Below are 25,587 nucleotides of genomic sequence, written 5' to 3' on the forward strand. Positions count from 1 at the left end.
GAATTTTTTTTTTTTTTGAGATGGAGTTTCGCTCTTGTTGCCCAAGCTGGAGTGCAATGGTGTGATCTCAGCTTACTGCAACCTCCGCCTCCTGGGTTCAAGCGATTTTCCTACCTCAGCCTCCTGAGTAGCTGGGATTACAAGCGTGCACCACCACGCCTGGCTAATTTTTTGTATTTTTAGTAGAAACGGGGTTTCACTATGTTGGCCAGGCTGGTCTCAAACTCCTGACCTCAGGTGATTGCCTGCATTGGCCTCCCAAAGTGCTGGGATTACAAGTGCGAGCCACTGCGCCCAGCCATGAATGTTTTTAATACCACTGAATCATACACTTAAAAGTGGTTAAGAGGGTAAATGATATAGGTTTTTTTAACCACAATAATAAAAATTGAGAACAAACCTCTCAATTATATTTCTATATTTCAGCCACAGTAAGAAATTTAAATTGTATAAAAGATAACATTTATTATAGCATAAAAATTTCAAACATCTAGGAATAACTCTAACAAAATATGGGAAATGCTCTACTTAGAAAAAGCATAAAACCTTGAGAGGAGGCAGGGCATTGTAGCTCACACCTGTAATCCCAGCACTTTTGGAGGCTGAAGCAGGAGGATTGCTTGAGGTCAAGAGTGAGAGATGGCCGGGTGCGGTGGCTCACACCTGTAATCCCAGCACTTTGGGAGGCCGAGGCGGGCGGATCACAAGGTCAGGAGATCGAAACCATCCTGGCCAACATGGTGTAATCCGGTCTTTACTAAAAATACAAAAACTTAGGCGGGCGTGGTGACGGGCACCTGTAGTCCTAGCTACACAGGAGGCTGAGGCAGAAGAACGGCATGAACCTGGGAGGTGGAGCTTGCAGTGAGCCGAGATCATGCCATGCACTCCAGCCTGGGTGACAGAGCAAGACTCTGTCTCAAAAAAAAGAGTGAGAGACCAGCCTGGACAACATAGCAAGACCGCATCTCTACAAAAAACAACAATAATAAATTAGCTGGGTGTGGTGGTGCATGCCTGTAGTTCCAACTACTTGGGAGGCTGAGGTGGCAGAATTTCTTGAGCCCAGGAATTAGAGGCTGCAGTGAGGTATGATCACAGCACTGTATTCCAGCCTAGATGACAGGGTGAGACTCTCAGTTACATGCAACATTATGTGTGAATTTTCCAAATGTAATATTCTGAATTTCAGGGTGGTTGTGAATTTTCGAGGAGTACCATTTGTTATGGGTTGAACTGTGTCCTCGCAATGGATGTGTTGAAGTCCTAACTTCTCCTCACATTGCATACTTGTGAATGTGATCTTATTTGGAAATAGGGTCTTTGCAAATGTAATCAAATTAAGATGAGGTCATTAGGGTGGGCCTTAATCCAATATTGCTGGTGTTCTTATAAGAAGAGAAGAAGAGGCAGAGACAGACACACACAGAGGAGCACACCATGTGAAGACACAGACACAAGAACGTCACGTGGGAACAGAGGCAGAGCCTGGAGTGATGCTTCTACAGCCAAAGAACAGCAAGGATTGCCAGCAACACTGGGAGCTGAGAAAAAGACCTGGAACACATTCTCCCCTGGAGTCTTCAGAGAGACTGTGGCCTTGCCGACAACTTGATTTCAGATTCCTGGCCTCCAGAACTGTGAGAAAATACAGTTCTGTTGTTTAAAACAACTCAGTGTGTGTGATTTTATCACAGCAGCCCTGGGAAATGAATACAGCATTCGCCCAGTACAGTTTATCAGGATTGAGTCCAACTGACTGCTTTCCACTTGTCCCATTTTTCTTTTATTTTTTATTTGCAGCCTTCTTTTGGATTAACTACAATTTTTTTCCACTTCATTTATTTGCTCTTCAAGCATGTGCTCTCCCTCCCCTTACCTCCCTTTGCTTGGCAAAGCCACAACTTTACAAAATGATACACTAGGAATTTCTGCAAGCAAATTTAAAAAGTCTACAGTTAATCATCTTTGTCCTCCTCCCAAATTACATAAAGATATTATAATACTTAAACTTGGATCAGCTCTTTCCTTATATGTTATTGTGACCAGTATTTTAGTTTTATATTTTAAAAAACCTGTAAGTTAGACATTAATGTGATGTTATATGGTCAATGAAATTTAGATTTACTTACATATCTACCGATTTCCCTGTTTAACACTCTTTTCGTATCTCAGTCCTCCTATCTGGGATCATTTTACTTTTCTCTAAAGTACATATTTTGGAATTTTTCTTTTTCTTTTTTTTTTCTGAGATGGAGTCTCGCCCTGTCGCCCAGGCTGGAGTGCAGTGGCACGATCTCGGCTCACTGCAGGCTCCGCCTCCCCGGTTCAAGCAATTCTCCTACTTCAGCCTCCTGAGTAGCTGGGATTACAGACACCCGCCACCACGCCTGGCTAAATTTTGTATTTTTAGTAGAGACGGGGTTTCACCTTCTTGGCCAGGCTGGTCTTGAACTCCACCTGCCTTGGCCTCCCAAAGTGCGGGGATTACAGGCCTGAGCCACTGCGCCCGGCCTGGAATTTTCTTTAGTAAGGATCTGTTGGTGGTAATTTTTCTCAGCAATTGTTTATTCTTGAAGAATCGTTTTTCAGGGAACAGAATTCTGACCTGGCTGTTATTTCCTCTCATTGAATGTGTTACCACACTATCTTCTGGCCAGCAGTGGGTGATTTCATATTTCTCACCAGCTACCCTCTAAAGGACCTAGTTCTCACCCATGGCCAGAAGATCAAGGTATATATTGCAAAGCCCAAGGACCAGGCGAGGGGGTATTGGGAAGATCAGAGGAGTGGGAGCTGAGAGAAACGCCAACTGCTCAGTGGGGGAGGGTGTCCTCTGATTCTTCAGCCTTTGCACAGAGACTCAGAAACTGGGCTCAGCAATGGGAAAATAAACTAGGACTCCTTTACCACCTTTCATGTTTAAAATGCTAGGGGGCACCCAGATTTGAACTGGGGACCTCTTGATCTGCAGTCAAATGCTCTACCCCTGAGCTATACCCCCAGTTACATTAGTAAGGTCCAATTAACAACCTTTCCCTGTGCAGCCACACCCAGACCTGCTGTCCTAGATTCCGCTTCAGGATGGGTTTCTGAGTTACAAGGCCTGACTTGCTGCCAACTCAACACCCTGTCTTAGAGGAAGCAACCAGTTCCTTCTCCCACAGCTCTGCCACCTCTCCACTCTCAGTTCCTGAGTAAGTGCAGGGATCTGGGGAGCAGTCCCCCGACAGCTGGAAGGCTCTCTAGTGACACCTATGTTGTGGGTTTTGTGCCGGGGCCTGCAAACAGAGACTCAAAATGCCCAATGGTTTGGCCAAGCCTGCAACACTTCAAAGATAGAACCCACATTTTCTGGATACTGGATTTGCCAGCTTTTCAGCTAAGATCACTTTTTAATGACCGCCCCCCACCCCCCACCGCCACCCACCGTGTGAAACCAGGACGACCTCCCTGAATTCTCCTTCAAATTCCACATTTGTTTAAGGCAGTTGAACTTTAAAACAGTATTTTAGCTTTTTTGCCTCATATATCGTGGTGCTTTGTTAGGGCAGCCCTAGAAAACTAAAACATTCCTCCACAATTATGTTGAATTCTCTCTGCTAAAGTAACTGGTGCAGTTTTTGTCTCAGAACTGGACCCTGAATGATACAGAAATAGCTACCAGTGGGGCACTAGGAAACATACCTTCAAGGAGGGTATTGGGATGGACTTGGTCTTGTCCTTGGTCTCTAAGGCAGTGCTGAGCACCTGGTTGGATCCTGAATTGTAGGGGATGGCCATAGGAAGAAGGTCATAAAGGCACTGTTTCATAAGCTCATCAGCTTCCTTCTGTGAGTGGACTGCACTATGGTCTCTACTCAAGTAAAACTCGATTTTGTCAGTTCGGCTCAAGGAGGAAAATGAATTCTTTAAAGGGGGCACCCAGAGTTGATCCAGGGACCTCTTGATCTACAGTTAAATGCTCTACCACTGAGCTATAATTGAGAATAGTATATAATTTATACTTTCTTATAGTTCCATACATACATACAGGTGCTCATGCTGACTCAACAGAGTTGCTGGTCCTGTTCAACTGTAAGTGGATCTCCTTATGCCATAACTATCTTCCTTTTCCAAAAAGAAACGAACATTTCTTGACATCAGCTTGGATGTCCACTGGAGGTTCTGTATGAGACAACAAAGTCTGTACCTGGCTTCGTATACAGGCAGAAGATGAAGCCCAGAGGGAAGGTGCTGCTTACAGAGCCAAGGATTCAAACTTTCTTTGCCAGCTTTTCAGTTGAGATCACTTTCTAATAACCCCCAGTGTGAGACCAAGATGACCTCCCTGAATTCTCCTTCAAATTCCACATTTGTTTAAGGCAGTTGAACATTAAAACAGTATTTTAGCTTTTTTGCCTCATATGTCGTGCCCCTTACAAAGCAGGTTCACTGTGCACTGGTTACCACTTCGGCCCACTGCATCTCAGGCTGCACCCTTACAGAATCCCTGGGGTGTTGCTTTGCCAGCCAGAAACCTCTATGACCAGTGGTGCCTTTGCCTGAGTTTTGCTCTGGCCTTCTGGGCTTGTTCTACCCACTCAGCCTGTCAGACAGTGCCCAGCTCACACTACTGGCCTGAATCCCACACTTGCCAAGGCAAGCCAGGCATGAAGTGGCAAGGGGTCCGTGAGTGAGCGTGGGGTCTGGCCACTGTCCATAGCCAGACACACTGGCTGTGGTGGGGCGGGCAGTTCCAGGCACTGGCATGGATGCCAGCTCCCTGCAAGGCTGGAGCTGGACCAAGCATACCATAAGCAGCTTCCACAGCTCACACCAGAAAATGCGGTGGTGCCTGGAAGCTCGGAGATGCCAGGAACCACAGAGCCCTAAAGGGGGTGTCACAGCCCTGGCTCAGGGAGCTCCTAGGTCTGTGGCTACAGCTCCTCTCTCCTTCTCTCTTCTCTTTTTCTTGTCACCCACAACGTGGTGAGCAAGGGACATGTTTCAGCCCTGTTTGTGTTACAGCTCTTTTAGCAACCCCATTTGGTGGGTACTGAGTTCTTGTCCTGTGTCCAGGAAGAATGAGGTACACAGACAAGTGGAGGGTGAGCAAGACGAAGAGGAGCTTTATTGAACAATAGAACAGCTCAGAGGAAACCCACAGTCGGTAGCTCCTCTACATAGCCATGGTGTCCCGATGAGTGTTCAGCTTTCAGCAGAGAGGGTAGCTCCTCTCTGCAGGCAGGTTGTCCCATCATCTCTTGAGCTCTCAGCAGAGAGGGTAGCTCCCTTCTGCAGCTGGTTGTCCCGTCATCTCTTCTGGTGTGGCTGAGTCCAGGGTTTTTTATGGGCCTTAGAGGGGAGAAAGTGCATGCCGATGGGTCCATGGGTGGCCATGGGCAGGCCCAGAAAAAGCACTGTAAGTACCCACTCTGGTCCATGGGACTGGCAGCTTGGTTCCCAGGCTTCAGGCCTTCCCCAGCTTGAAGGTGGGGCTTCACTGGGGACCTGCCCCTTTCTGCCCAGGAGCCTGTCTGCCTCTTGCCACTGTTCGTAGTGCCCAGGCTCTTTATGCTGAAGGGTACCTGCAGGCCAGCACCGAGCTGCCCTCAGCCCCTCTTCAGCCTCCCTCCTGTGCTTGTTGGTGCCCAAAGTCCAGAGGGGGCCAAGTGGGCAGGGGGCTGGTGTGTCACCGCTGTCCCGAGTGTGCACATACTCAGCCAGGTTATGACAGTGCTTGGGCTCGGCCTCAGCTTTGCTGTGTGATTGGAGTAGGTGTTGACAGCAGAGAGAAGCCAGACAGTGGGATCAGGCACTTCCAAGCCTACTGGAGACAGGGGGGACCCTTCCTGGGTCCCTGAGAGTGCAGAGATGCCTAGGTCTGCAGCTGCAGCTTGGGCAGCTGCAGCTGTGCCCAGGAGGGTGGGGCCGTTGCCTGCTTCTGGCCCCCGAGAGCTTAGGGATGCCCAGGTCTGCAGCCACAGCTTGGGTGGCTGCATTTGCCCTTGGGGAGCTCCTGCCAGCTCTGTGGAGTGCAGCACCATCCCAGGCCCCACTCCACCTCAGGGTCTGTCTCTGCCCACCCCTCTGTTCATGGCTGCACTACTCTCCCACCGATAGGTGACTCAGCCTGGCACCATTGTGCCAGCTCCCAGGGCAGCAGGCTCCGGGGGGCTCCCAGGGGTGGGCTTTGGGGACTGCTCACCTCCTCTCTGCACTTTCCCTGCAGTGATGGTGGATGAGGTGCCCTGGCCAACCCCACATGAATAAACTCCATGCTTTTGGGGCTGGTCCCATGAGTCCTGGCTGCACCTTTGGCTGGGTGTTTGCAGGCTCCCAAGATGCATTGGGGAGTGAGGTTGAGGCTACAGTGGAGGCTCTGGGCCTGGGAGCAGGTCTTGCCTGGCCATGTGAGGACGGGGGTGGTGCAGTCGGCTGCCTCAGGAACACAGGACACAGGGGCCGCACTGCCACCACTGCTGCTCCCACAGCCTCCTGCCACCACAGCCCACACCTCCCCACTGCAGCCAGCATGATGCAAGTGGCCACTCTTCATGGCCTGCTGCTGCCATCACTCTACTTGCCTGACTTCAATGAGACAGAGCACTCCCAAACACGTGAGCACCATGAAATGGGTTTATTACTTACACATAGGCAGCAAGGAACAGCAGAAGCCTAGGATTTGTGACAAACCAGCCCCCCAAAGCTCAGAAAATCGGCCCAGAATAAATGAAGTCTCGTCTGTGCATGCCTCACTTGCCCCACAGCTCAGGGACCCTGGTAAGCAGCCCACCCTGGGTTTTATACGCCAGAGTCTCATGACTTGCTAGGATAAAGCCTTGATGGACATCCTGTTTCTAGGAGGGACTGGAACAGCACCTGGGATGTTTTGGCCCCTTCTTCCATATTTCAGGATGTTGCATTCCCAGCATGTTCTACAGTTATTCCTCAGAACTACAAGCAAGAAAGTGTGGAGAACTTGGTTCATCCAAGGCCACCTAGAGAGCTGTCCTGCATTCCTCATTGCTCAGTTCTCCTTTTTGTGTTCCCTTTAACCCCTCCTCCCATCCAGGATGACATCAATCTTCTAATTTTTTTGATTCTTTAGGCTTTGTCATCTCCAGATCATTGTCTTTTTTGTACCTTCCCAGTGTGGTCCGAGGCCTGGCTGATCCTAGGAGAGATGTGTCAGTGCTAATGGGAGGGGGACTCTGATTACAGGAATACCTTGTTTTATTGAATTTCACTTTATTTTGCTTTGCAGATACTGGTGGGGTTTTTTGTTTGTTTGTTTGTTTGTTTATGCATTGAAGTTTTGTGGCAACCCTGCATCCAACAAGTCTATTGGCACCATTTTTCCAACAAGTGCCCACTTCATGATTCCATGTGAGCTTTGGTAAGGCTCACATTATTTCAAACTTTTTCAGATAAGCAACAAGGGAAAGCAGAAGCCTAGGATTTGTGACAAACCAGCCCCACCCACCCACCCACTGCCCCAGAGCTCGGAAAAGCTGCCCAGGTGCAAGGAGTAATTCTCACATTGTTTCAGACTTTTGAAAATTATTATATCTGTTATGGTGATCTGTGATCAGTGATCTTTGATGTTACTATTGTATTGTTTTGGGGTGCCATGAACCAAACCCATATAAGAAAGTGGACTTAATCGATAAATGTTGTGTATGTTCTGACTGCTCCACCAACCAGCCATTCTCCTGTCTCTCCCTCCTCGGGCCTCCCTAACAACTAAAACACAGCAAGATTGAAATTAGGCCAATTAACCCTTCACTGGCCTCTAATTAGGGTTCACATAAAAGGAGGAGTTGCACATCTCTCACTTTAAATCAAAAGCTAAGCATGATTGAATTTAGTATGGAAAGCATGTCAAAAGCTGAGACAGGCTGAAAGCTAGGCCTCTTGCACCAGTTAGCCAAGTTGTGAATGCAAAGGAAAAGTTCTTGAAGGATATTAAAAGTGATACTTGAGTGAACACACAAACGTTAAGAAAGCAAAACAGCCATATTGCTGATATGGAGAAAGTTTGAGTGGTCTGGATAGAAGATCAAACCAGCCATAAGATTCTCTTAAGCCAAAGTTTAATCCAGAGCAAGGCCCGAACTCCCTTCAATTCTATAAAAGCTGAGAGTGGTGAGGAAGCTTCAGAAGAAAAGCTTGAGGCTACGTAAATTGGTTCATGAGGTTTAAGGAACATAAGAAGACAAAGTGAAGCAGCAAGTGCTGGTGGAGAAGCTGCAGCAAGTTATCCAGAAGATCTAGCTGAGATTACTGATGAAGGTGGCTGCATAAACAACAGATTTTCAATGTAGATGAAACACTCTTCTATTAGAAGAAGATGCTATCTAGGACTTTCATAGCTAGAGAGGAGAAGTCAATGCCTGGCTTAAAAGCTTCAAAGGACAACCTGACTCTCTTGTTAGGGGCTGATGCAGTTGGTGATTTAAGATGAAGCCAATGCTCATTTACCATTCTGAAAGTCCTAGAGCTCTTAAGAATTATGCTCAATATAATCTGCCTGTACTCTAGAAATGGAATAACAAAGCCTAGATAAGAGTACATCTGTTTACAGCATGCCTTATTGAATATTTAAAGCCCACTGTTGACATCTACTACTCAGATAGATTCCTTTTAAAATATTACCGCTCATTGATAATGTGTCTGGTGACCCATGAGCTCTGATGGAGATGAACAAGAAGATGAATGTTATTTTCATGCCTGTGAAGAAAACATCCATTCTGCAGCCCATGGATCAAGAAATAATTTTGACTTTGAAGTTGTATTACTTAAGAAACACATTTTATAAGGCTGTAGCTGTGATAGATAATGTGGTCCCTCTGACAGATCCGGACAAAGTAAATTGAAAACTTTCTGGAAAGGATTTACCATTTTAGGTGCCATTAAGACAATTCATGATTCTTGGGAGGAGGTCAAAATGGCAACAATAACAGTAGTTTGGAATTTGAGTCCAACCCTCATGGATGACTTTGAAGGGTTCAAGACTTCAGTAAAGGAAGTCGCTGCAGATGTGGTGGAAATAGCAGGAGAACTAGAATTAGGAGGGGAGCCTGAAGATGTGACTGAATTGTTACAATCTCATGATCAAAGTTGAATGGATGAAAAGTTGCTTCTTACAGATGAGCAAAGAAAGTGATTTCTTGAGATAGAATCTGCTCCTGGTGACAACGCTGTGAACACTGTTGAAATGACAACAACAGACATAGAATATTTCTTAAACTTTGTTGATAAAGCAGCAGCAGGGCTTGAGAGAATTGACTCCAATTTTGAAAGAAGTTCTACCATTGGTCAAACTCTATCAAACAGCATCACGTGTTACAGAGGAATCTTTCATAAAAGGAAGAGTAAATTGATGTGGCAAACTTCATTGTTTTATTTTAAGAAATTGTCATGGCCACTCCAAACTTCAGCAACCATCATGCTGATCTGTCAGCAGCCATCAATATCAAGGCAAGACCCTCTACCAGTAAAAAAAGATTACAACTGAAGGCTCAGATGATCATTAGCATTTTTTAGGAATAGAGTACTTTTAAATTAAGGTATGCAATGTACCTTGCATACCTTAATGTAAGCAATGTACATTGCTTTTTTAGACATAATGTTATTGCACACTTAATAGACTACAGTATAAACATAACTTTTATATGCACTAGGTAATAAGAAATTCCATGTGACTCACTCTATTGCAATATTCACTTTACAGTGGTAGTCTAGAACTGAACCTGCAGTATCTCCAAGGTATGTCTACACTTATATATTGCTGCATAACAAAATCACCCCAAACTTAGCAGCTTAAAACAATAAACATTTATTGTTTTATATCATGCAGTCTTGGAGGTTCAGAAATCTGGGAATGACTTAGCTGTGTGGCTGTGATTCAGGGTCTCCTATTAGATTGCAGATAAGATGTCAGCTGGGGCTGCAGTCATCTGAAAGTTTGACTGGGGCTAGAGGAACCACTCTAAGCTGACTCACTCACATGGCTATTGGAAAGAGGACTCAGTTCCTTAATGCATGTTGGCAGGAGACCTCAATTCCTTGCCATGTGAGCCTCTTACAGGGCTGTTTGATGTGTCCTTATGACATGACAACTGGCTTCCCTGAGTTTTTATCCAAGAGAGAGCAAGGTAGAGCCACAGTGTATTTTATGACTTCGTTTCAGAAGTGACACATTGTCATTTCCACCATATTCTATTCATTACAAGTGTGTTACTAAACTCAGTAACACTAAACATAGTGTCTTACTAAGCACATGGAAGATAATTAAGCTTCACATCTCCAAGGGAGAAATGTTAACATACTTTAAAACTACCAAAGTCAGCTCAAAGTAGAAGGAATATAAAGTTGGATCAGGCTGAATGTATTTAAATGGGCTCACTGAGCTGAGATTTTCCAGATTTAGTGTGTTAGCTCCACGGACTGGGAATGACTCTGAAAGGATATCTTCAAAGGGGACAGCTGGATTTGAACCAGAGACTTCTTTAATTTGCAGTCAAATGCAGACTATATCCACATTCTGCTAGTGTGGCTGACTGAAAAACAGGCCCAAAGGTAGCCTACACCAAATGAACTTGAAATGCCAGAGCTTCCTTGGTATGTTGTAGTGGAAGATGTGGTAGGTAGAGCTGTAAGACGGCCCCCACAACTCCTGTACCCTAATATCCATATGTTTGTGTAGTTGCTTCCCCATGAGTGTGGATGGGATGTGTAACTTTTTTCTAATCAACAACATATAGCAGGCTGGGTGCAGTGGCTCATGCCTGTAATCCCAGCTCTTTAGGAGGCCAAGGCAGGTGGATCATCTGAGGTCAGGAGTTCAAGAGCAGCCTGACCAACATGGAGAAACCCCATCTCTACTGAAAATATAAAATTAGCCAGGCCTGGTGGTGCATGCCTGTAATCCCAGCTACTCAGGAAGGCTGAGGCAGGAGAATAGCTTGAATCCGGGAGGCGGAGGTTGCAGTGAGCCGAGATCGCGCCATTGCACTTCAGCCTGGGCAACAAGAGCGAAACTCCATCTCAAAAATAAAATAAAATAAATAAATAAAATAAACATATATATAGCAAAGGTGATGGGATGTCGTTTCAGCAATTATGTTACTTATCTGGCAAAGATGAAAGGATTTTGCAAATGGAATAAACCTAATCAGCTGACTATAAATTAATCTAAAGGGAGATTATCCTGGATGTGCCTGACTCAATTGTAAGAGGACTTAAGACTTCCTTGAGAGAGTGAGACCTCAAACAGCCACTAGGTCTGCAATTCCTCTATTCTCTCTACATCCTTCTGCCTTTTGCCTGTGAACAACAAGCTTAAGCTTATGTCTACAGGGTTCCAAAAATCCAAGCTTGTCATTTTCCTCCTGAAAGAGGTCAAGTGCACTCAGAAGAATCAATCCCATATTATAGTTCTTGCAGCCATCATTAAAACAGCAGCCACTTGGGCTCCCAAGACATCTACTTCATTTAACACTTAACACAATCAACCACAGTGATAGCTTGATTGGTTGTGATGCCAGTGTATGCCATGGACTACTAGCATCCCATTATTTCTCATTGGCAAGGGGCTCCACATTGCATTCAAGCCAAGAATACAAACAAACCAATTCCCCAAACCCATGGTGTGAAGCTATCTACTGATTGCTACCACCTTGCCTCTGGTATCAATTCTGTACCAATCAGGATCCAATAGGAAGACAGAAACCACATGGTAACTTAACTTGGAAAAGGTTAGTATACAGAAATAGTAACTCTAGCAGAGGATTGGAATAGTGAGGGACATTGACTAGTGAGGGGCAAAGAGAACTCTAAAGAATATAGGAAGAGCAGATATAGGGAGTAAACCCTATCCTAGGGCTGAGAAAGGGCACCCAAGGAAGGAACAGATCTGGAAAAACCCCACCTCCACCGCAGGCTGAGATTTAAGCTTTATTGAAAAGGCTGTGGTCATGGCTTACAGAGTGGAGAAATTCACTAAGATGCCACAGCAGCTGAGTTCAAGGGGAATCCACCCCTTAGGGTGTTGGGGGCAACGACCCACAGGGAGATGTTGCACCTGCAGCAGTCACTGGGAAACTTTATGGGAGTTCTTGGGGAAACCAACCATGAGAAAGTGCTGCCCTCAGAAGTTGCTGCAAAGCTGCCTGAAAGGTGCTGAGGAAGCCATTCACAAGGAGGTGCCATGCAGCAACACTCCAGAGAAAGCAGACACATGCTGCTGGCTCAGTGTACTGTGCGAGCCCAGAGCTGCAGATGCTGCACACGCTGCAGGAGCCTCCAGGCAGAGTGCACCACAACCAGGAATACAAACCCTTTCCTTCCCCAGCATCCCTCTTGCACCTTCTACTGACAAAGCATAACGTTGTGCCACTGACTAGGGAGAAATAGTTACAGGGTCCCACTCCATTATCACAGAGCAGGCAATGAGGGATGCATTTGGAGTCAAGAGACAATACTTTGATAACTGGCACAGGAGACATACTAACAGAGGTTTTCAGCCCTCATCCTAGGGCAGGGCAACAGTTCTACCTGTCCCAGGGCCTCAAACCAGCAGGTTGGCCCAGCTGGAGTTGCTGGGGCTGGACACTAAGTCTAGGTTCCCCAGAAACAAAGCTTGAACAAACAAGGGCTTCTGTGTTGGGACCAGAGACCCCTCCTCTGCAGGTCAATCCCAGGCCCTGAATGGGCAACTTTCCCTGAGGTAGGCTCACCTGCAGTGTGTCTGCTTGCTGGCCCTTCTGTGTGCCTATGCTCCCCACCTGGATATCCATCAAGCCACCAAAGTTACTCCCCCACCTTTCAAAAATACTTTTTATTTTATAGAAAACTACATAGAATAATTTAAGAATCACCAATATACTTAACACCCAGAAGTGGTAACTGCTATCATGTTAGAACTGGCCCATCATTTTAAGGTAGTGAAACATCACCAACACAGCTATGTCCCCTGCAACATCCTCCTTCCCAATCCACTCCCATTCCTCCCCTCCCTAAAGACAACTATTATCATGAATTTAGGCTGCATCCTTCCACTTTCCACTTGGTTTTTATTTTTCAACTTTTTGAGATAACTGAAGTACTTTTCAGCTAATTTTCTCCAATAATATAATTTTGAATAACTAGTGTACAATAGCACCACCAGGAAACTGACATTGATACAAGCCCCACCAATCTTATTCAGATGTCATTAGATTTACATGCACCTGTGTGTGTGTGTTTAGTTCTTTGCAATGTTATAACTGATGTAGACTTATATGGCCACCACCACAGTCAACCTATAGAACAGTTTCCTCACAAGGGTCCCTCATGCCACCTTTTTATAGCCACAGCTACTTTCCCTCCTCATCCCTCTCTAATCCTGGCAACCACTAATCCATTTCCCACATCTATAATTTTATGATTTCAAGATTGTTTTGTGCATGAAGCCATACAATATGTAACCTTCTGAGATTGGCTTTCTTTCACTCAGCATAAATCCCTAGAGATCTATCGAAGTTTTTGTGTGTATCAATGGTCTACTCCTTTTTATTGCTGAGTAGTATTTCATCATACAGATGAACAATAGTTTGCTAAACCTCATTCACATATTGAAGGATGTTTGGGTTGTTTCCAGCTTTTGGCCATTATGAATAAAACTTCTATGAACACTTGGGTACAGATTTTTCTGAGAAAAAAAAATTTTGCTTCTTCGGGATAATGCACAAGAGTGCAATTATTGGGTCCTACAGTTAGCACATGTTTGGCTTGGTCAGAACCTGCCAAACTCTTTTGTAGAGTGACAGTACCATTTTACGTTTCTACCAGTAATGTATGAGTAATCCAGTTTTTCTGCATCCTCAACAGCATTTGATAATATCACTTTTCTATTTTAGTTATGCTGATGGGAGAGTAGTGATATCCTATTGTAGCTTTATTATCATTTTCCTAATGGCCGATGATGTTGACATCTTTTCATGTGCTTATTTGCCAACTGAATATCCTCTTCAGCGAAATGTCTTTAAATATTTTGCTCATTTTTGAAATAGACTTTTTTTGTTAAATTTTGACAACTTTATGTATTCTGGATACAAGTCCCATTTTAAAAATACTTTTATATTTATATATGGGTATACAGAAACAATATTCCATATTTTCTGTGTATGTTTAAACAACCCAAATGAGATAATGCTAAACATATAGTTCTGTATCTTAAATTCCTTGCACATGACACTGTTCTTTTTGAGAGCTATCTGGTCACTTTTGCAGCTGTTGAATGTGGAGCACTCATGAGGTGATAATAAAAGCAATTCCATTTTTGCTCCTCACTGCCCCTTTTAAACTTTCTCAGTGAAATGGTTTTTTCTTGTCAAAGAGGCTTTAATGATTACTCTTAGGTAGCAGAAAGTCCCATAGCTGCAATCTTAATTCAGTCATTAAAATGTTCAGTCCCATGGAATAACTGATACTCTGAAATCGACTGGAGCATCTATCTTCCGCTAGAAGTGGAAGAATTGAGTCATGGTCCCTCCTTTCCCTGTCCCCATCTAGCATTCATCCCTAGCATCTAGGGTGGGGAGAGGGGGAAGAGGGGAGGAGAGGAAAAGGAGAATGAGAAAGTTCTTACTTGCCTGGCACTGTAATAAGATAGGTTTGTTTTTTCTGGGCTTGGCAAGTGTTTAAAATGACTCCCTGGATATTTCCATGGGATTCTTCAAAGGGCTTCATTGGGAACATCTGACTGCCTCTGTGACCTGGCACACACCTCTCTTAGGCTGACATTTCTACCTGCACCTCTGGCTTTCTGGGTTCCATGTCACACAGATTCTCTCTGTTGGGGTCCATGACTCATCCTCTTGGGCAGAGTTTAACATAGCTCCTGAGTAGCTTTCTCTCTTGTGTGGCCTGCAGGGAACACCCCTGTGCCTTTGGTCCCCAGCCCATGCTGGTGATGCAGGCCCATTTCCAAGAGCTGCATCACACTCCCACCTGCAGGGCAGCCACCCCTGCTTAGCTTTGTGCCCTCCTTTGTGCTGGACTCTGCTCCATCGCAAACCCCGACTCCAGGGCATGTGGACCAAGTTCTGTGAGCTGAGACTCCTTGAAGCTCCTTTACTAGGCTTGAGTTAGGGGAAACCCCCCACTCAACTCTTTCCCCTTGAGAAGAGCAGGAAAATGTATTCCTCACCAACACTCTAATCTCCAACAAACTGACCCTCTTATACCCTCCTGGTAGGAAGCCATCTGGTTATCAGACATGACTTTGAAATTTCCACATGGTGCTCTCTCATGCCTACTTTTGGTATCTGATACCTATTTTATCTTGCACCCTCAGCTTAAACTTTCTTTAAACTGCATAATTTAAAAAATTACATTATAAGAGTCCAGAAAGTGTTATTTATCTATTCCACTATAAAGGGACATACTCAGGACATTTCTTTTTTGTTTGTTTTCAAATTAACAATAGTGCTGCAAAGAACATTTGTGCACATCTCCTGAGAAACTTATGCTAGAGTTTCTCAGATGTACCAAGAAGTGAAATTCCTGAATTTTATGCATACTTTTAAGTATACTCTTATAGGTCTATATGATTTATATACTTATTTTGCTGTTTTTATTGCCAAAATTTTCTCCATAGTGAGTGTACCAATTTAGCAATTTTATACTATCAGATATATAAATCTTAAACACAAGCCCCCAATCTGTGCCCATCTGTACACTTCCTTATAAAGTCCAGTTTTAGCCAAGAGTTCTGCTAAGCCAGTTTAGCAAAAACCCCTACACCCTTGATATCTGAGCACTCTTTTCTTTTTTTTTTTATTATTATACTTTAAGTTTTAGGGTACATGTGCACAACGTGCAGGTTTGTTACATATGTATACATGTGCCATGTTGGTGTGCTGCACCCATTAACTTATCATTTAGCATTAGGCATATCTCCTAATGCTATCCCTCCCCCTCCCCCTACAACAGTCCCCGGTGTGTGATGTTCCCCCTTCCTGTGTCCATGTGTTCTCATTGTTCAATTCCCACCTATGAGTGAGAACATGCGGTGTTTGGTTTTCTGTCCTTGCGATAGTTTGCTCAGAATGATGGTTTCCAGCTTCATCCATGTCCCCACAAAGGACATGAGCTCGTCCTTTTTTATGGCTGCATAGTGTTCCATGGTGTATATGTGCCACATTTTCTTAATCCAGTCTATCATTGTTGGACATTTGGGTTGGTTCCAAGTCTTTGCTATTGTGAATAGTGCTGCAATAATCATACATGTGCATGTGTCTTTATAGCAGCATGATTTATAATCCTTTGGGTATATACCCAGTAATGGGATAGCTGGGTCAAATGGTATTTCTAGTTCTAGATCCCTGAGGAATCGCCACACCGACTTCCACAATGGTTGAACTAGTTTACAGTCCCACCAACAGTGTAAAAGTGTTCCTATTTCTCCACATCCTCTCCAGCACCTGTTGTTTCCTGACGTTTTAATGATCGCCATTCTAACTGGTGTGAGATGGTATCTCATTGTGGTTTTGATTTGCATTTCTCTGATGGCCAGTGATGATGAGCATTTTTTCATGTGTTTTTTGGCTGCATAAATGTCTTCTTTTGAGAAGTGTCTGTTCATATCCTTCACCCACTTGTTGATGGGGTTGTTTGTTTTTTTCTTGTAAATTTGTTTGAGTTCATTGTAGATTCTGGATATTAGCCCTTTGTCAGATGAGTAGGTTGCAAAAATTTTCTCCCATTGTGTAGGTTGCCTGTTCACTCTGATGGTGGTTGCTTTTGCTGTGCAGAAGCTCTTTAGTTTAATTAGATCCCATTTGTCAATTTTGGCTTTTGTTGCCATTGCTTTTGGTGTTTTAGACATGAATATAATAGCTGGTCAACTTCCTCCTCCTTCATCATCTACCAGGTGATGATGTCTGATTTCCCTGGCCTGTCTTCAGCAAGAATCCTGTTAGGCCAGTTTAGCCAGAATTCCCCTTACTCCTGATGTTACTTAGTAATTTTCCATCCATTGACCCCTAACCCTGCTCCTTGGCTATAAATACCTACTTAGCCATGCTGTATTCAGAGTTGAGCCCTGTCTGTCTCCCCCACTGCAAAGCCCAGTTGCTGCAGTGGTCTCTATACCTATTGCAATGGCTTCCTCACTGTGCTTTAACAAGTATCATTGAATAACTTTTCTTTAACAATATATATGTATGTGTGTGTGTGTGTGTTTGTGCATGTGTGTGTGTGTGTATTCTGTATATTCTACCAAAAGTTTGAGTTCATATTTAGGTCTTTAATTCATCTGGTTTTTTGTTTTTTTGTGTTTTTTTTTCAGATGGAGTTTCACTCTTGTTGACCAGGCTGGAGTGCAGTGGCGCAATCCTGGATCACTGCAACCTTCTCCTCCTGGGTTCAAGCAATTCTCCTGCCTCGGTCTCCTGAGTAGCTGGGATTACAGGTACCCACCACCACACTTGGCTACTTTTTTTGTATTTTTAGTAGAGATGGGGTTTCCTCATGTTGGCCAGGCTAGTCTCGAATTCCTGACCTCAGCTGATCCACCTACCTCAGCCTCCCAAAGTGCTGGGATTACAGGCGTGAGCCACCATGCCTGGCCTCATCTGTATTTTTTTAATGGAGTGAGGTAGGGATCACATTGTGATTTTGTTTAGAAGACAATTATTCAAGCACCATTTATTGTATAGTCCACCCTTTCCCCACTGATTGGTGACACCATCCCGGTCTTATATTCTGAGACCACACTTCATCTAGAGCAACACTGTCCAATAGAAATATAATGCAAGCTGCAAATGTGAGCCATATATGTAATTTCATAGTTTCTAGTAGACACATTAATACATAAAAACAAATCATTGAAATTTATTTTAATGCAATATTCCATTTAACCCAAATATCTAAAATATTATTATTGCAACATGTAATTAAGCTAACAAGATATTTTACATTCTTTTTGTACTGTATTCAAAAATCTGATGTGTTTGTGAGGGACATTTTCATATTTTCTGACGGTGCAGAATCTTTGAGTGCACTAGCTGTACGTGGGGAATGTCTTCCTTATAAGACCAGCAACCTCAAAATAGAAGCTAGAAAACTTGTTCTCCAGGCCCCTTTGAGTTTATGGAATGGGCCTGGGCTCCAGTGATGGGATGTACCCTTTTAAGGCCTGAAGAGGGAAGAGGGAGGGGCAGGGTCCATTTGGCTTGCAAGGATGGTGTTGTTGTTTTCCAGTTTTGAGGGCTTGAGTTTCTGGTAGAGAAGTGGTATGAGTTGTGGTGTCTGGAATGTAGACTGTGTCATCTGGTGCAAGGTGGCACCTGCATTTTTGTTTCTTCAGTGGGCCAGTTCTGCAGGGTGGTTTGGGGCATTTTTTCTGAAAGGTTAGACTGGAGACTCATTTTCCACAACTCTACCTTGTGAGAGAGATGCTTTTAATAAACTTTTACTGCTCAATCTAGGTTCTGTTGCTGGTCCCTAAGGGCCCTGATGAACACAGTGAGTGAAATCTTGAAGTGCCAGCTGCTCCACACTAAAGAGTTCTCAGAAATGAATCTCCAGGAGGGGTGAATTAAAGCCATGCTTTTCAATCTATCTGTGGTGAAAACCCAGCTTTATTTTTATTTCCTTAAAATCTGTCATGAATCAACACTGGTCCATCAGACTTGCAGACTTTGAGACCCACCACACCACCAGAACTGGCCAATGGAAGATTGTTATAGACTTTCTCAGCATTTACTCTCAATTTCTGAATTTCTCCCATCACAGACCTGTAACAAAGAGTTCATGGACTGGCCTCAGGTCATGGACCACAATGAGTAGCACTGAGCTGAAAGACATGCTAACCATGAATTCCTCTGGCATCCAGGGATGACTTTACCACTCTGTTAAGTTAGTTATGCAAGCCCTTTGTAGAACTGCCTTTTCCAAACTAGTGGAAGAATCATGCACCAGCAGTTAGAAGCTGCATTCAGCTGCTAGTAACCAACTGGAAATGAGAGTGACTACTGTGCTAAGGGGTACAGGCTCACTCACTACAGCATACCTTGCATTTCTAACACAAAGACAAGAAGTTCCTGGGGGAACTTGTAGGCAGACAAGCAGCAAAAGTGTATGGTTCCCTGCGTTCTCCTTATCATGTAGAGATGTAGACTTGGGCCAGGCAGAGCTGGGTGCACCATGGGATGTGGAACAATAGAAGGACTTTCCTCCTACACTACTCTGTATCATTAGAGGGAAGCTGAGAAAGCTGTGGGAACACTTAGTTGACTCTGTAACAATGAAAGTTTCCTGGTCAACTCTCAACAATGAGAATTTCTACCAGGGAAATTGCCTTGGTAGAAAAACCTTTTTCATGACTAACTCAGACCTACTGAGGTAGGTGCTTGGTAGGCTGTCAACGGAGAAAGTGGATGAACTTTCAGAATCGTGTGGATTTGTCTGTCCTTGGAGGTTTCAACAAGATAGCAATTTATATATTTTTCATAAAGGATGTATGGAGGTGTATTAGTCTGTTCTTACACTGCTATAAAGACTTACCCTGAGACCGGGTAATTTATGAAGAAAAGAGGTTTAATTGACTCACAGTTCCACAAGTTGTATAGAAATTATGGCTGAGAAGGCCTCAGGAAACTTACAATCATGGCAGAAGGTGAAGGGGAAGCAGGCACATCTTCACATGGCCAGAGCAGGAGGAAGAGAGTGAAGAAGGAAGTGCTACATGCTTGTAAACAACCAGATCTCATGAGAAGGTATTCACTTTCATGAGAATAGCAAGGCGGAAGACCACACGCATGATCCAATCACCTCCCACCAGGCCCCTCTTCCAACATTAAGGCTTACAATTTGACATGAGATTTGGGTGGGGACACAGAATCAAACACATCATTCCACCCCTGGCCCCTCCCAAATTTCATCCTTCTCACATTTCAAAACACAGGCATGCCTTTCCAATAGTCCCCCAAAGTCTTAACTCATTTCAGCATTAACTCAAAAGTTCAAGTTCAAAGTCTCACCCGAGACAAGGCAAGTTCCTTCCACTGATGAGACTGTAAAATTAAAAAAAAAAAAAAGTTATTTCCAAGATACAATGGGAGTACAGGCATCGGGTAAATGCTCCTGTTCCAAAAGGGATAAACTGGCCAAAATAAAGGGACTACAGGCCCCATGCAAGACCAAAATCCAGCAGGGCAGTCATTAAATCTTAAAGCTCCAGAATTATCTTTTTGACTCCATGTCTCACATCCAGTTTACATTGATGCAAGGAGTGGGCCAAGGCAGCTCTGCCCCTGTGACTCTGTAGGGTACAGACCCCATGGCTGCTTTCATGGATGGGTATTGAGTGCCTGAGGCTTTTCCAGGCATATGGTGCAAGCTGTTGATGGGTCTACAATTCCAGGGACTGGAAGGGTGGTAGCCCTCTTCTCACAGCTTCACTAGGCAGTGCCCCAGTGGGGACTCTATGTGGGGGCTCCAACCTCACATTTACCCTTAGCACTGCCCTAGTAGAAGTTCTCTATGAAGGCTCCACCCTTGCAGCAGACTTCTGCCTGGACATCCAGGTGTTTCCATACAACCTCTGAAATCCAGGTGGAGGCTTCCAAGCCTCAACTCTTGCCCTCTGCACACCCGCAGGCTTAACACCATGTGAAAGCCACCAAGACTTCTTATGGCTTGCACCCTCTGGAGCAGCAACCTGAGATGTATCTGAGGCCCTTTTAGTTACAGCTGGGGCTGGAGCAGCTGGGAAGCAAGTGCCATGTCCTGAGACTGCACAGAGCAGCAGGGCCCTGGGCCTGGTCCATGATACCATTTTTCCCTCCTAGGCTTCTGGGCCTATGATGGGAAGGACTGCCATGAAGTTCTCTGGATTGCCTTGGAGGCATTTTCCTCATTGTCTTGATTATTAACACTTGGCTCTTCTTTACTTATTCAAATTTCTGCAGCTGGCTTCAATCCCGCCACAGATAATGAGTTTTTCTTTTCTACCACATGATCAGGCTGCAAATTTTCCAAACTTTTATGCTTTGCTTCCCTTTTGAATATAAGTTCCAATTTCAGACCATCTCTTTGTGAACATATATGATATGCTGTTAGAACCAGCCAGGTCACATCTTGATGCTTTCCTGCTTAGAAATTTCTTCTGCCAGGTACCCTAAATCATCTCTCTCAAGTTCAAAGTTCCACAGATCCCTAGAGCAGAGGCACAATGCCACAGTCTCTTTGCTAAAGAAAAGCAAGAGCGACCTTTACTCCAGTTCTCAATAAGTTCCTCATCTCCATCTGAGATCACCTAAGCCTGGACTTCACTGTTCATATCACTATCAGCATTTTGGTCACAACCATTCAACAAGTCTCTAGGAAGCTCCAAACTTTCCCTCATCTTCCTGTCTTCTTCTGAGCCCTCCAAACTGTTCCAGCCTCTGCCCATTACACAGTTCTGAAGTCACCTCCACATTTTCAGGTATCTTTACAGCAATGCCCCACTTCTCTGGTACCAATTTGCTGTATTAGTCTGTTTTCACACTGCTATAAAGACATACCTGAGACTGGGTAATTTATGAAGAAAAGAGGTTTAGTTGGCTCACAGTTCCACAGACTGTACAGGAAACGTGGCTGGGGAGGCTTCAGAAAACTTACAATCATGGCAGAAGTTGAAGGGGAAGCAGGAACATCTTCACACTGCCGGAAGAGGAGGAAGAGAGAGGGAGGAAGTGCTACACACTTTTAAACAACCAGATCTCATGAGATCTCTCTCACTGTCATGAGAACAACAGGGGGAAGTCTGCCCCCATGATCCAGTCACTTCCCAGTAGGCCCCTTCTCCAACATTGGGGATTACAATTTGACATGAGATTTGGGTGGTGGCATAGATCCAAACCATATCAGGAGGTGAGCAGACCAGAGCTGGCATGGTAACTCGAGGGTGTCTTTAGAGACACAGGCTCCTTTTATCTCTCTGGTCAGCCTTCCTTAAAATGTGGATCCCATCCTCAAAGTTGACTCATGGTCTAAGTTGATAGCTTGTGCCCCAGCCATCACATCTATGTTATAAGTAGGAAGCAGAAGTAAAGGCAAAAGAAGCACATGACATGTTTGTCCTTCTCTTAAAATTTCCCAGAAGTCTTAACTGTTCCTTATCCCTCATGTGTATGCCACCCCTGGCCAAAGACGGCCTAGGAGTGTGGTCTTTTAGCTGAGAACATAACTGCTCAGTATGAAATCTGAGTTTCTATTACTACAGAAGAGAAAAGAATGAATATTGGGTACTTAACTAGTAGCCTCCTTTGAGACACACACACATACACACACACGTGTGGCACTGTTTCTACAATTTTTAAAAAGTGGATAAAATACAGCAAATATTCAGGGTCGCTGTGTTGCATCATTCCAGGGTGCTGTGTAATTGGTAAAGTTATAAAATGTGCAACCTGTGTGTCTGCACATGGTTGCCCTGGCAACCACCATCATCTCTCCAGTGTTTCATGTATTAAGACCTATCATATTAATGTCTGCTGCTCTTTGAGCTAATAACATATTTTTAACGATTGGTGAATTGGTCTGTTTTCCCTCCGCATGATTACTAGGAGCTATGAGATGTTTTGAATTCCACAGTAAGAGCTTCTCCTAACCTAGGATCTTTGGAATAATTATTTGCTACCTCTCCTAGACATTTGGCTCTGGCATTTTAATACTCGTTTTACCAGTTAGAGTTTTATTGTGTCTTTTATTGTAAGTTGCCTTGGATTCTTTTTTTAAAGCAAGCTTGGTGTAAACAAATAAAATCTTGGTGGTAATAATTAGGTACAAGGGAAACAGAAAAAATCTAGGGCAGCTTTCCTCTACCCCTCCAGGAAATGATTATGGCTGAGGAGGTAAAAATGAAATATGTGAAAAATGTCACAAGAGAAACACTTCAGTCTTTGCCATTGGTTGGAAAATTTGGTTCCTTGAGGCTGGCCTACCAGATAACAAGGAGCTATACTATAATTGCCCAGTGTAAAATGGTAGTGACAAAGGGGGCACCTGGATTTGAACCAGGGACCTCTTGATCTGCAGTCAAATGCTCTACCCCTGAACTATACCCCCCAAGGTACTCATCTTCTTTCAATAAAGATATATTAATAATCACAGTCATTCACAAGCTACGCTCTGGCCACTCTGTCTCCAGAGTGTGGAGTTATGTAATGCACAACAGAGCAGCTCTTCTGTACAACCCCCTCCACACCTGCCGGCACCTGGCCAATTAAGCTGCAGCCTTAGCTTTTTGGGAAAAGGAGAGTGGTGGGGTTAAATCCAGATATAGACATAGCTTGAGGGCCTGGGTTCGGGCCCTGGGCCTGATTGTTCTGGAGTGCAAGGAGCCCCTACTTGATAGTAATTGATGTTCCAATATTGAGCCATCAGTGCATTTCTGTTTTAAGTCTTTCTTGGTTATGTGGGATTGTACTATTGGATAAGGTTTTCTACTATTTTGTCTAGATTACTCTGAAATGAGATTGGCCTATAGCTTTCTTTGTGGTATATGCTCTTGTAATTTATTTTTTATATCAGGATTATGTGAATTTTCTAGAATGATTTGGAGAGATTTAAAGCGTTCTACGCTGGAACATTATATATAACATAAAATTACATATTCTTAACTAAAGATTAGCAGAAACTTGCTTGTAAGCCTCTGGGTGGGGTGCCTTTTGTGAGGAAGAGCTCCTTAATGATCTTTTAATGAATTCTGTCATTATTGGTCTATTTAAGTGCTCTGCTTCATCTTAGGTCACTTTTAGTAATTCATTTTCACTTAGAAAATATAATAAAGTTGTACATAGTATTTGCTTTTCTTTCCTTCCTTTCTTCCTCCCTTCCCTTCCCTTCCTTCTTTTCTTTTCTTAGATGGAGTTTCGTTCTTGTTGCCTAGGCTGGAGTGCAATCTTGGCTCACTGCAACCTCCACTTTCTGGGTTCAAGCAATTTTCCTTCCTCAGCCCCCTGAGTAGCTGGGATTACAGGCACCCACTACCATGCCCAGCTAATTTTTGTATTTTTGGTAGAGATAGTGTTTTGCCATGTTGGTCAGGCTGGTCTCGAACTCCTGACCTCAGGTGATCCACCTGCCTTGGTCTCCCAAACTGCAGAGATTACAGGTGTGAGCCACTGTGCTCGGCCCATAGTATTCTCTTATAATCTGAAATTTTATTTAGCTATGTTCTATTTTTTTTTCATTATGTTGTTCATTTGTCTTTTTTGGCTTAGACAACATGAAGATTCGTTTATTTTTTGAGGTAAAAATTCAGATCCAACTTCAGTTACCAACAGTTGATCAGTTGATCTCAGTAGTTGTTGCCTCTTGTATTTTGAAGCTCTGTTAATAGATGCATACACACTTAAGACTGTTATGTCCTATTGATGAACTGATCTTTTTATCATTATGAAATATTCCTCTTCAATTCAGTAATTTTCCTTGTTCTGGTCTATTTAGTCTGTTATAGAATACACTTTTCATCTTTCTTTTGGTTAGTATTTGTTTGGCATATACTTTTTCCACTCTCTTAAATTATTCATCTTATTATATTTAAAGTGGCATTCTTATAGATAGCTTATAGATTTCTTTGTTCAAGTGATCCTCCCGTGTCAGCCTCCCAAGTAGCTAGGACTACAGGTGTGAGTCACCATGCCCAGCTAATTTTTTTAAAAATTATTTTTCGTAGAGACAGAGCCTACCAGATAACAAGGAGCTATTCTATAATTGCCCAGTGTAAAAGGATAGTGACAAAGGGGGGGCACCTGGATTTGAACCAGGGACCTCTTGATCTGCAGTCAAATGCTCTACCCCTGAGCTATACCCCCAAGGTACTCATCTTCTTTCAATAAAGATGTATTAATAATCACAGTCATTCACAAGCTACGCTCTGGCCACCCTGTCTCCTGTAGCTCTCCAGGAGCTACAGGTGTGGAGTTATGTAATGCACAACAGAGCAGCTCTTCTGTACAACCCCCTCCACACCTGCCAGCATCCGGCCAATTAAGCTGCAGCCTTAGCTTTTTGGGAAAAGGAGAATGGTGGGATTAAATCCAGATGTAGACATAGCTTGAGGGCCTGGGTTTGGACCCTGGGCCTGATTGTTCTGGAGTGCAAAGAGCCCCTACTAGCCTCAAACTCCTGGCCTCAGGTGTTCCTGCGGCCTCAGCCTCCCAAAGTGCTGAGCCAAACTCCCAAAGTGCTAAGCCAGTGTGCCCAGCCACATTTGGTTTTATTTGTTCCAAATACTAGATTTTGTTCTTGTTTTCCTGACTTCATTGGGATTTCATTTTTTTAATGATCTCCTTTTGTCTCCACCATGAGCTTATTAGCTATTCCTCTTTGTTTTATATTTTTTAGGGTTCCTCTAGAGATCACAGTATCATCTTTAACTTATCACATTTTACCTTCAGATAATGTTTTGCTACTTCTCTGATAGTGTAAGAATCTTACAACAGATTTCCATTCCCCTCATTTTGTCCTTTGTGTTATTATTGTCATAGATTTTACTTCTATGTATATTATAAACCCAGTATATTTATATTATTTTTGCATTACTTATCTCTTTTTTTGTTG

The 25,587-nt window shown here is 43.8% G+C and overlaps 1 long non-coding RNA gene, 3 other non-coding genes and 1 pseudogene across 4 annotated transcripts; 1 reads left to right on the forward strand and 4 right to left on the reverse strand.

Moving 5' to 3' along the window:
- Positions 1-2,932: 2,932 nt before the first annotated feature.
- On the reverse strand, positions 2,933-3,004 carry TRC-GCA13-1 (tRNA-Cys (anticodon GCA) 13-1). Its single transcript has one exon. It is a non-coding gene; the product is annotated as a tRNA-Cys (tRNA).
- Positions 3,912-3,987, reverse strand: TRY-GTA11-1 (tRNA-Tyr (anticodon GTA) 11-1; annotated as a pseudogene).
- LOC124901770 (uncharacterized) lies at positions 17,064-18,594 on the forward strand. The gene is made up of 3 exons (XR_007060583.1): positions 17,064-17,158; positions 17,321-17,443; positions 18,462-18,594. It is a non-coding gene; the product is annotated as an uncharacterized LOC124901770 (long non-coding RNA).
- Positions 18,595-23,016: 4,422 nt separating this feature from the next.
- On the reverse strand, positions 23,017-23,088 carry TRC-GCA18-1 (tRNA-Cys (anticodon GCA) 18-1). Its single transcript has one exon. It is a non-coding gene; the product is annotated as a tRNA-Cys (tRNA).
- A 1,679-nt stretch (positions 23,089-24,767) lies between these two features.
- Positions 24,768-24,839, reverse strand: TRC-GCA10-1 (tRNA-Cys (anticodon GCA) 10-1). Its single transcript has one exon. It is a non-coding gene; the product is annotated as a tRNA-Cys (tRNA).
- Positions 24,840-25,587: the final 748 nt, after the last annotated feature.

Source organism: Homo sapiens, chromosome 7, assembly GCF_000001405.40.
Source record: "Homo sapiens chromosome 7, GRCh38.p14 Primary Assembly".
Taxonomy (NCBI): domain Eukaryota; kingdom Metazoa; phylum Chordata; class Mammalia; order Primates; family Hominidae; genus Homo; species Homo sapiens.